Source organism: Homo sapiens, chromosome 5, assembly GCF_000001405.40.
Source record: "Homo sapiens chromosome 5, GRCh38.p14 Primary Assembly".
Lineage (NCBI taxonomy): Eukaryota > Metazoa > Chordata > Mammalia > Primates > Hominidae > Homo > Homo sapiens.
The window spans coordinates 93,350,036-93,361,480 of record NC_000005.10 but is presented as its reverse complement, the minus strand read 5'-3'; the positions used below and the strand labels follow the sequence as shown (position 1 = coordinate 93,361,480).

Below are 11,445 nucleotides of genomic sequence, written 5' to 3'. Positions count from 1 at the left end.
TCCACAGATACTCTCTCTTCCTCCTGAGGGGCTGCTCGTGTGCTGAACTGATGCCTTCCAAGCAATAGGATGGAAAGTTTACCCTTTTATGGGCCCTTATCAATATTTTCATCATATCAAAGGGAGAAGCTACGTTGGAGCTGTGAGGCAAATATCGTTTTGAATTGGAAGTCACTTTGACTTTGCATTTTTAATTGTATTAACAGCAGTGTACTGGAGTAGCTTAGAAAATGTTTACAACTTGGCCCAGTCAACAGACTTATTTACTGAATAATTTTCAAAAATTAGGTTAAAATGTACAGCATTTTCTCTGCTATCTCTGCCAGTTGGTCTTTGAGCCAAGCCAAGCCAAACCAAACCAACCAAACTACACAAAAAAGACCAGGTTTGCATGTTGAATCTGGAATGTTTTGAATCCAAGGAAATAACTTACTTATTCACGTTTAGTTGGAGTAACATGTTTATGGGTACTAGATTTTAATGCCAGTAGTTTGAATGGGTGCTTTCATGCATATTTACTTACTTGGTTGACAGAGCACTAGATATCAAATGTGGAGTAGACTGCTTAGGGTTGCATGATTCAGAACGTGGGCATGACATCTTGTCTTTGGGTCTTGATGAGCAAACACTTTATCTCAAGACAGTGTCCTCTAGCTCATAAATATATTTTACTAATGATGCATAAATATTAAAAAGAAATATGGAAGTGTACTATGAAACTGTTCACTTCAATAAACCATGACATAATGAAAGGTAAAGTTTTTAGTTTGTTTTATTAATCATCATGAATAATAACACCCCAGCCCCATTAAAGGGCAAATTATTGTTATGCCTTGCTTAACAACGGGAAACACTTTGAGAAATGCGTCCTTAGGTGATTTTGTCACGTGAACATCATAGAGTGTACTTACACCAACCTAGATGTATAGCCTGCTACATACCTGCACTATACAGTATAGCCTATTTCTCCCAGGCTACAAATCTGTACAGCATTTTATTGTACTAAATACTGTAGGCAATTGTAACACAATGGTGTTTGTGTATCTAAACACACTTTAACATAGAAAAGGTACAGTAAAAAATATGGTATTATAGTCTTATGGAACCTAAATGCTATTATGTGGCACATCACTGTAAGATGACTCCCTCCTCAATTTTTTTTAACCCTAAAGTAGAAACCATTTAATTTTAGTCAGTTTTGTTTGTTGTTTCATACATTTTTCCTCCAGCTTGGATGCAACTGTCAAACTTACTTCTGGATGACCTATAAAGAATGAAAAGTAATTGGATAATACAGTTATTCCATAAATTGAGACACATGTCTCAGCTGGACAAATATTGCTGACTCAGCCTTCCTTCCTGCCATTTAATCCTTTTTACTTGAAATAAAAAAAGTCCCGATTTTCATACCTCAAATAGACTTCTTGAAACAGATTTGAAAAGAAGAGCCTATTGCCAGCGGGAGCAGGACTCCCCAGTTGCGTCTCCGTCATCTCAGCTCACCTGGAATGCTGGTCGGGTGGTGACAGTGACTGACAGGGCCAGGCTCACCTTGGTGTGAGGGCTGAGGGCTCCAGGCTGATGAAACATATCTGGAAATGTGCCCAGTGGAAACACAGAGCGGCGTGGGTACACTTTCATGCCAAAGATATTCGGGAATGGGTCCAAAAACATCTTCTGTAACAGGAAATGAAAGAGGAAATAACTTGTTATTCCAAAGGGGTGAGAGGGTTGGGGTGAGAGTTGAAAGAAGGGCTGAAAAGAGAGAAAAAGAACTGAGCTATGAAGGTGAGGTGATGTTGAAGAGGGGATGTGAGTAGTTGGAGCTGGAAATGTTAATGAGCTCACAAAGATAAGGAGGAAGTAGGGACTGTCTGGAAGCTAAACACACCATCATGGAAAGGACAGCTTTGCCAAGAATAACAACATCAAGATAATTAAAGGAAAAGGCTAACGTAAATATGAGGAAAAGGAGAAAACGCTGACGGGTCTTAAATACCAGAACATTCCAGCTCAGCATTTCGTAATTGACAACATAAACAGGAAAAGGAAGGGAAGGCCTTCTGCAGCCACACAGACATTCCATCCTATGATATTTGTGTTATCATTCAGTTTTCTGTTGACTCAGGATGCATTGGGTGGGATGAGAATTATAACTTTTATTGTTTTATCTCTCTGCGTCCGGTATGTTCTGTACATTTGTCAGAAGGCCATGATACTAGGATACTTAATTAATTTCCTGAATCGTGTTATTCAGTAGTGTAATTTTGTAGTGTAAGCTGTAGAACCAAATCATGTATCTCTATTATATATAAAATTTTCTTGAGCTCTTTTCATGCTAACTAATGGAGTGCCTGCAAAACAATTTTAAAAGTTGATAAAACTAAGTAAGTAGTATACTGACCACACACAACCTCACACTGCATGACACCCCACCTATTCTGTTCTGTAAGCAGTTCACATCAAGCTCCAATTTGTGTTCTCTTTCTGTTCCTGAGCATTCCACAATCTTCTTTCCAGAATAAAATTGTTTGGAAGACTGAAATCTTTTCCAGGGAGAAGGGAATTATAAAGTCCACAAGCAAATAAAAATAACATGTCCTTTTTAGTATGGAGATCCAAATTAGACTTCTAATTTGGTAAAAAAAAAAAAAAAAAAAAAAAGCAATGGTGGGATCTCTTCCCTAAATTATTACCCAAAAGAATGTTTATATATAACTTCATTTATTGTAAAACAGTATGAAAAAGACCAGTAAATATATTTCCTTGTGTGATGAAATTCACCAGTCTAATTCTTCTTTAATGCTTCTCTTTAACAAAATTCTCCTGAGGGTAGTTTTGTGTGTATCTAAATTTATAATACTAGGTATATACCACTCCAAAAATGTGTATCAATACATAAAACCCTAGGAACAGTATGTGACTAACCAAACTCACTATTGCTTTATTTCCTCTCTCTGGTTAACTTTATGATAAGTTTAATCTCGTTCTACCCTTTAAAAATATTTTCATAAGTTGTTTCTTTACTGGTACATAGCATTACTTACATAACAGTTCATAAAATCATAAAAGCTTGACATATTTTTCCTCTGTTGCCAGGAGCAGTTGGTGACAAATAATATAAAATAAAAACTTTAACCTTGGCTTTTTCACCACCATAGGAGCCTGAGGATTTATCAGTTTTCTCTATGTGTTCTCAAAATGTAAAGAACCAAGAAAGACTACATTTGAGTAGACAACCTATTTTAAAGGCAGGAGATCTATTTGGCTATCAGACAGGCATGGAGCCTTGGAGACACAGTCTAGACCTGGCTTTGTCACAAACTGCCTATGTAGCACAAGCAACAAGTCAAGTAAGAACGGGGTGAAAGAGGTGCTGCCTTCTAATGAGGCTGGGGAGAGGAGCAAAGGAGGTGGGGAAAGAAAGAGAGCAAGGCCTGAGAGAAGACTTGGAGTTGAGGAACAGGTTATTCAGACTCATCAGAAGGAAAGAATACTGAAAAAACCTGGAATCCAGTTTAAGGCAAACAGAAGAAAAGATAGTGCATTTCTATGTCAAGGTGTCCCAAGAGGGTAGTCTAGTTGAAACTTTTTAAAGACCTAATGGGATTGTGGTTGGATTTTGAAATTGAGGATGTGGTTTTCAACCACCGGACAAGACTGATAAACTACAAAAAATGCACTCACCTGGCTATTGGTACCCACTGGAAAGGGATGTATTCTCTGTAATTTCTCTGTATGTTTTTTTAAAGCAGAATATTGGTTGGGATTATTCTTATTGCATTTGAGGAAAATATATATGTATTTGATTTCTATTTCTTGTTATATATAACTTTTGAACCATGATCTCAAAAATTTAAAACATCTTTTCAACACATCTCAAAAATATAGCATAGCCCTCAATTATTTTTGATACTAAAACAGAGTGAGTCTGGAACAATTAAAATATGGGAATACCTAGAACTTGAATCTAGAAAGAACCTGAAAAAGTGAATCTCTTACATCATAACTTTTAGTAGAAGAAGGAGAAATAACGACTAAAGATGGGTAAAACAACAAATGTACAAAACAGCCTCATAATGCATCCATGAAAAATTGAAGTTTGCACCGAACATTCTGGACTACATACTTCTTCCTATGTTTTAGAAAAGATTGCTTTTAAGCTCACTCAAGGCAGGTGCTATGACACATTCATCATAGAGCTTCAGCCCCAAAGTTCACCATCTAGCTTACATTTTTTTGCACACAGTAGAGGCTCAATATTGTCGTATCAAATTGAAAATAGGATTCAGATGTTTCTTAGAGTTAAGTCTCCTTTTCATTGTTAATTTTCAATTATAGAGAAATACATAATTAGTGTATAAAAGGAATTTCCACTAAAAGTCTCTGGGATGCTGAAGTGATGATACATCAAATCCAAGTTGTATCTTTCTTCCAGGTGGAATCAGGGACAGACAGACATAGGTATTTATCTGGGTACATGAACCATGCTTTATGGCAACTCAGAAAGTGCCATTTACTTACTGCCCAAGAAGAAGATGTATTGTAAAAGACAGAAATCACCAGTATTTTGTGTTCTGGCCCTGTCTTCAAGGCATCCAGAGAGACTCCTGGAAGAAGGACATTTTTTCTGCAGTTGCCTTAGGACCACATGAAAAAATTTAAATTATTATTTTTTTTCTTTCCAGGAACAGACTTTTTTTTGGGGTAGTATCATCTCTTAGTGTACACCAAATCATAAGAAAAAAATTCATAAAACAATTTCTTCCTTTTGCTTTAGAGTTTAATCAGCTGCAGGATGCATGAGGGGAAGTTTGTGGGCAGGGCAATTCTCTAATAACAGCACTTTAAATACATCCTTATTTTATGGGTTGTGTTTAGAACCCACTTCCTTACACTGTAGGTTTTATTAGTACTTAAAACTAAGCTTGAATTTTCCTGCTTCTTGGACAAATAAAAAGTGAAGTCATAACTTAGTCTGATTACCTTTTCATCCCATGTAAAATGTGAAATGATTATTTTAATTTCTTTTGATTAAAAAACCCCATAAACCCATTCTTCCTTGCAGATGTGACTCTCCTCTTTGGCTCTCATTTAGAGAAGGATGGACAACCCTCCATCTCAGAATTAGAGATGCCCTGGGTTGGGGGTAAACCACTGGCAAATCCTCTCAGCAGACCCTTTTCTGTGGTTCAGAAATAAAAGAGGAGCAGTAGCTGGATTTCTGCCTCTTCCCCTCCCAGGTAGAGGGCATGATAACTTACCTTCCTGGTACCAGAACGAAGAAAAACAATTGTATTAGTTTCCTGTTGCCACTGTCACAAATTAACACAAATTTGGTGACTAGCAACAACACAGACATATTCTTTTACAGTTCTGGAGGTCAGGAGTCCGAATCAGTTTCACTGGGCTAAAGCTAAGGTGTTAGCAGAGCCATGCTTCCCGGGAATGCTCTAGGGGGAAACCCGTTTTCATTTCCTCGGCTTTTTCAGCGTCTGGAGATGCATTTTTTGTATTCTTTGGCTCATGGCCCCATTGCGTGCCCTCAAAGCCAGCCGCATAATATCTTCTTTCTTGACTGTGCTGCCCTCTGCTTCTGTCTGCTTCTGTGACATGGTCCTCTTCTCTTCTGTGGTCAAGTCTCCCTCTTCCTTCCCTTCTTAGACAGATACTTGTGGTTACATTTTGTGCTCATTGGGATGATCCAGAATCATCTCCCCATCTCAAGATCCTTAACTTAATGATATCTGCCAAGTCCCTTTTTGCCGTATAAGGTAACATTCAAAGATTCCAAAGATTAGTACATGGATATCTTTGGGACCCCTATTCAGCATAACAACCTTGCAGCCTTTTTTCAGAAAGATAGGGTGTGAGTCATATTGTTTCTAGAAGAGGCTCCTCACTACTTTTTGCTTTTTTGAAAATTTACAATATAAAAACAACTGTTTCAGCTCGATTAGCTTATTTCTCAGGAGAGATCTGACTATTGATATAAAGGAATATATATGTGTGTGTGTGTGTGTGTGTGTGTGTGTATATACATACACATTCTCTCTAGCAAAATAAACATATCTGTGGAATATCTTTGGGGAAATAGCTTTTCTTAAAATATATATGTGCTATCAAATGTTTTTGGTCTATTTAATTATAATATTTAATTACACATAAAACAAAAATTATAAAATTACATTTTATTCTTATGCAAATAATATTACAATCTCTGTCAGGTGCCTGTCTTTTAAAAATAGTTTACATCAGATATTTTGTCCTCTATTTTAGCCCAATCTACTCGTGTGTTCATGAAAGTCTGATCCTAAGTTACAGGATAAATATGTGTTAGAACTTAATAATTATTTCAGCTAATCTCATGTATTTCTTCTTGCAATTTGAATAATAATTATTTCAGCTTATGGGAAACATTGACAATTCACAAGTATTTTCCCTGTTGAGAGTAAGATCTTATTTTTAGTTTTTTCATAAAGTTTATTAGGACACTTTAGATTTGAAAATACAATAAATGGGAGGCCGAGGCAGGCGGATCATGAGGTCAGGAGTTCGAGACCAGCCTGGCCAACACAGTGAAACCCCATCTGTACTAAAAATACAAAAATTAGCTGGTTGTGGTGGCACACGCCTGTAGTCCCAGCTACTGAGGCGGCTGAGGCAGGAGAATTGCTTGAACTCGGGAGGCGGAGGTTGCAGTGAGCCGAGACCATGCCATTGCATTCCAGCTTGGGTGACAGAGTGAGACTCTGTCTCAAAAAAAAAAAAAAAAAAAAATACAATAAGTTCAGGGTCTGAAGAAGTTCTATTACCTTGATAAGGCCAATCATAAGATCCAGAACTCAGAGAAGACTTTCCCTAGAAGAGAGTTGAATAAAATTTTCAGGAAGTAGGTTTTGTATTATTATTATTTTAATAAGATTTCAACGGATAACTTTTCTACCAAGTCAATGGAATTAGATTTGCTTTTAGTCTTTGAAAAAATACTTCTCAATGAAAAATAAATATTTTGTTCTATTCTTAAAGAAAACCCAAGTTGTTTCAATAGAAGAAACGGAATTTTTGAATCACAAAACAGTTGTTCCTCCTGCAGGGGTTTAGGAAATAAAGGTGTTTCATAATTGTAACTGAATTGCTTTAAAAATGGAATCCAGCTTCAAAGCATGAAAGAGCCTCTGTTCTACAGATGAGGAAACTGAGGCACCATGGGATTACATGATTTGCCCATAATCACACCAGTAGTAAGTGATGAAACTTGGGTTCAAATTCAGAGTCTGTGTTTTACCTACCATACTAGAAGGAAGAGTGGAGGGTGAGGCTCAATTCTAAGGTGATATATGATGCTAAGAAGAGATAAGCTTAGACAGATGTAGGAAATAGTGTTGGCTTGAAAAGTCAGGGTCATAACCTCACAGTTAGAAGGTGGCAAAAGTTTCTAGATTTCCTGGGGTAGTACTTTTCAACCTGGTGTGTTCAACATTTTAGATTTTCATCTAGGTTAGTTTTTGTTATTATTGTTATGAGTGAAAGTCAGCCCAAAGAAAAATTTTGGAACACAAGGCTGGTGCCTGCTAAAGGATAAAGATGGATGTCAAGTGAGAGCCCCCAACCATCCATTCTTACCCGCTCCAGATCTTTTTATATCAGCTAGTTTCTTCTTGCATCATCAATCGCTCACTCTGCCCTGGTTCCTCGTGCTCAGCCTACAAACTTCTTTAAATCTTCTCTATCCTTAATATCATATTCCTTGGACACAACCTCCTCATCATGCTATCACTCAATTCCCCTTCTTCTCACATCTAATTTGTCATTAAGTTCTGTCTTTAGCATCCACATGACCGCCTCTTTAACCTAGGCCCTTATTCTTGCCTTGATTTTAATAGTTTTCTAATCTATTTTTCTGTCCCCAGTCCTCTTCAATGTCCATGCTGTAAGTGATCTGTAATCGATCACTGTCAGGAATGCCTCTTGCCCTTCACGAAGTCCTTCCAAGTCTTCCAGATGCAGCAGGAATGTTGTCCCCTTCCCTGGGGAGGAGGAATTGGCTGCCCCTCATCATACCTCTGCTGCACTCAGTTCCTATTTCTGGTCTGACTCCCCACTCCACCCCCTGCCCTGCTGCCCAAGAGATTGAAACTCTTCAAGGGCAAGGGCTTTGTCTTGGTATCCTCAGAGCTTGGTACAAGGGCCTGGGTCCCAGGAAGTGATCACGAATGTTTGTTGGGTGAATCAAGGGAGTCCTCATGAGAAGACCGATGGATGAATCAATGAAGTTACAGCAAGATGGTTTTCAAAATGAATGAAAGGCAGTTTTCTATGTTATATTTTCTTTCCTTTCATTTCAGGTTGGATTTTAGGGCTCACTGACCTAGACTATTCCTTTCTTACATTACAGGAAGAAACTTTTTTTTTTTTTTTCTGAGACGGAGTCTCGCTGTGTCCCCCAGGCTGGAGTGCAGTGGCTCAACCTCAGCTCACTGCAAGCTCCGCCTCCCAGGTTCACGCCATTCTCCTGCCTCAGCCTCCGGAGTAGCTGGGACTATAGGCGTCCGCCACCACGCCCGGCTAATTTTTTGTATTTTTAGTAGAGACGGGCTTTCACTGTGTTAGCCAGGATAGTCTCTATCTCCTCTCCTCGTGATCCGCCCGCCTCTGCCTCCCAAAGTGCTGGGATTACAGGCGTGAGCCACCGTGCCCAGCCTATAGGGAGAAACTTTTTGAGAATAATGTAAGATAACTAAATTAAGAGTCTCCAGTGAGCACTTTTCTTTCCTAGCATGGGATTAATTTTCTACCCATTAGTCTCCAAACAAAAATTTCAGGAAGCCTCATGTATACTTTGTTAATTGGGAAAAATATTTTTACTTGGCCTCCCAGTAATTCACAGGTGATTTGAGCTGTGTTTCTATCTTTTATAAGATAGGCATTTATAGACAGGGAATTTCCAAAGCAATTTTGAATACTGACTAAGGTCCTCTATTGCAAATTTCACAGAAGGAGGAAACTGTTAAGAAGAAAGGAAGCTAGCATTTACTGAACCTTAAATACTTGCCAAGCCCTCTCCTAAATGCCTTCACAAACATCTCACATCTCAAAACAACTTTGCCTGGAAGGCAAGACAAGACTGAGATGTGTACTCAGGGCCTCTACCTTCAAGTCCATATCTCCAAATATCTAGTTACATTTATACAAAGAATAGGCTGGGCGCTGCCTGTGGGAAGAGCTGAGAAGGAAGATGTTGCACAGGCTTAGCCATCCGTTTATTGTTTTTGCAATTCAGCCCTGGCTGAAAAGAGCAAAGCAAAATCTTGTATTACCTAGACCTTCCCTATTTAGAAGATAGTTTATGCCCAGTTACTATAACTTAAAGATACCTCTTACAATCTCACTCCACTTCTGTACCCCAAAAATAACTGTGTTAGAACATAGGTGAAGGTAGTGCCACAGAGATCCCAATAGCAAGATGGAAGTGTATTTTTCACAGTCCAGTTCGTAAGCATTCCAGGACTGGTATGGTGTCTCTATGGTATTAGGGATTCAGACGGCTGTAGCTTGTTGCTATACCATTCCTAATGTCGGGTTTTCCCTCATGGTCCACAATGGCTTCCTACCATGGCCACATTCCATCGAGTGGGAAGGAGAAAAGGGAAAGCGGGAAGGAGATGCCACTCCCCTTCTTTTTTTTTTTTTTTTTGAGACGGAGTCTTGCTCTGTGGCCCAGGCGGGAGTGCAGTGGCGCAATCTCGGCTCACTGCAAGCTCCGCCTCCCGGGTTCACGCCATTCTCCTGCCTCAGCCTCCCGAGTAGCTGGGACTACAGGCGCCCGCCATCACGCCCGGCTAATTTTTTTGTATTTTTTTAGTAGAGACGGGGTTTCACCGTGTTAGCCAGGATGGTCTCCATCTCCTGACCTCGTGATCCACCCGCCTCGGCCTCCCAAAGTGCTGGGATTACAAGCGTGAGCCACCGCGCCCGGCCCACTCCCCTTCTTTTTATGGGCATGATTTGGAAGCTGCAGGTGTCACGTCCGCTCACATCCCATTGGCTAAAACCTAGTCAGATGACTACATTGAGAAAGTGTAGCCTTCCCAGCCTGGTCACATGGAAGGAAGGAGAATGGATGTCAGATATCAATTATTCTCTGCCGTAGGTTTATCAAATGTATTTCAACTAAATGTGACACTGTTTATGAAAGGAGTTATGTGTCTATGTTTCTCCTCCCATTTTATTTTCAGAGATTGGCAAATATCGGGGAGATTTTGTGTCCCTTTTAGATTGGAATCTTTGGCCACTGCCCAGAGAGCTCGTCTCTTTAGCAGAGTTAGCTATCGGTGCTATATTCCCTTCTCACAGATGAGATCAGAGAGCATCAACAAGATGGGGGTGCCTTGTGTTTCTCTGGGTTTTCCCTGGTTCTCCCTTCAAAATTTAGCGAAATAGAGGATTTTAGCCATTTAAGAGGAGGTCTTAGACTCTGAGCCTTAATAGCTCTTATGGTCACATACTAATATAGCCTTTATATCCCCTGATTAGTTCCTGGATTGTTCTTATTAGTGAACTTTCTGGCAGCTAATAAAAATTAGGATATTCTTTCTGATGCTATGATTAATTTTAAAATTATTTTTTTTTTGTAAGCACTCAATCTCAGCCAGTTCTCTCTCCTCCGTTTCTCTAGATCAATGTCTACAGATTCATCTGGGTTTCTCAAAGAGCTGTGAGTGAAGCAATTGCAGAAACACTGTAACTGAAGCAGTTGTCAAGTACTGGGAACCCAGTTGTTCTAACTGGCAGATCTCATTCAGGGTGACAGGCTCGGACTCTGCAGAAGCCAGTTATGTCCAAACATTTTCAAGGTTTAGGGCGTCAGTGTTTGCTCAGTGTTTCCCCTCTTTGTCCCAATTCTGTTCTTTCTAATCTCTCTTCGTCTTGTCCTAGAGGATATTCTCCAGCTTCAATTTTCTAAACCATTGGAAACACCGTTTTAACATGCCGGCACTAAGAGCTTTACCTTTCTTAACCATTTTCCTCACCTATAAGATAAGAACTGTGAAGACTTCTATGTTACAGGATAGGATATTGAAATATGGAGAGGCTAAGAAACTTGTCCAAGATTATGTAACAGGTAAAGCCAGGATTCAAAACTGCCATTATCTCCATTCTGTAACTTTGGAAAGCTATAGCTACTTGAATGTAAGTAACCTGCCTTAGGCTGCACCGGTAGTAGGTAGCAGAACTGGGGTTCAAGTTCAAGTCGCTAATTCCAGACCTCCTGCTCTTTTTGTCCACCATGCTTAATGTGCAATATGGCCACCTTACAGGGATGTGGGCTCCTTGTGTATTACCTGTGATTCTCCTGGAAGCCTCCCCGTGCCCCACCCCCAGGTAGGAAAAACTGATTGAATCTCAGCAGAGCAGAAAGGCAGCTGTTGCACATATGCTGCA

At 39.5% G+C, this 11,445-nt stretch overlaps 1 annotated feature.

Moving 5' to 3' along the window:
• Positions 1,021–2,220: an enhancer, noted in NCBI's record as "MED14-independent group 3 enhancer chr5:92694967-92696166 (GRCh37/hg19 assembly coordinates)". NCBI's record gives its function as "activates an origin of replication core promoter dependent on BRD2, BRD4, P300/CBP and CDK7 cofactors, and independent of MED14, by STARR-seq in HCT116 cells {active_cell/tissue: HCT116}" and the evidence as "EXISTENCE:reporter gene assay evidence [ECO:0000049][PMID:35650434]".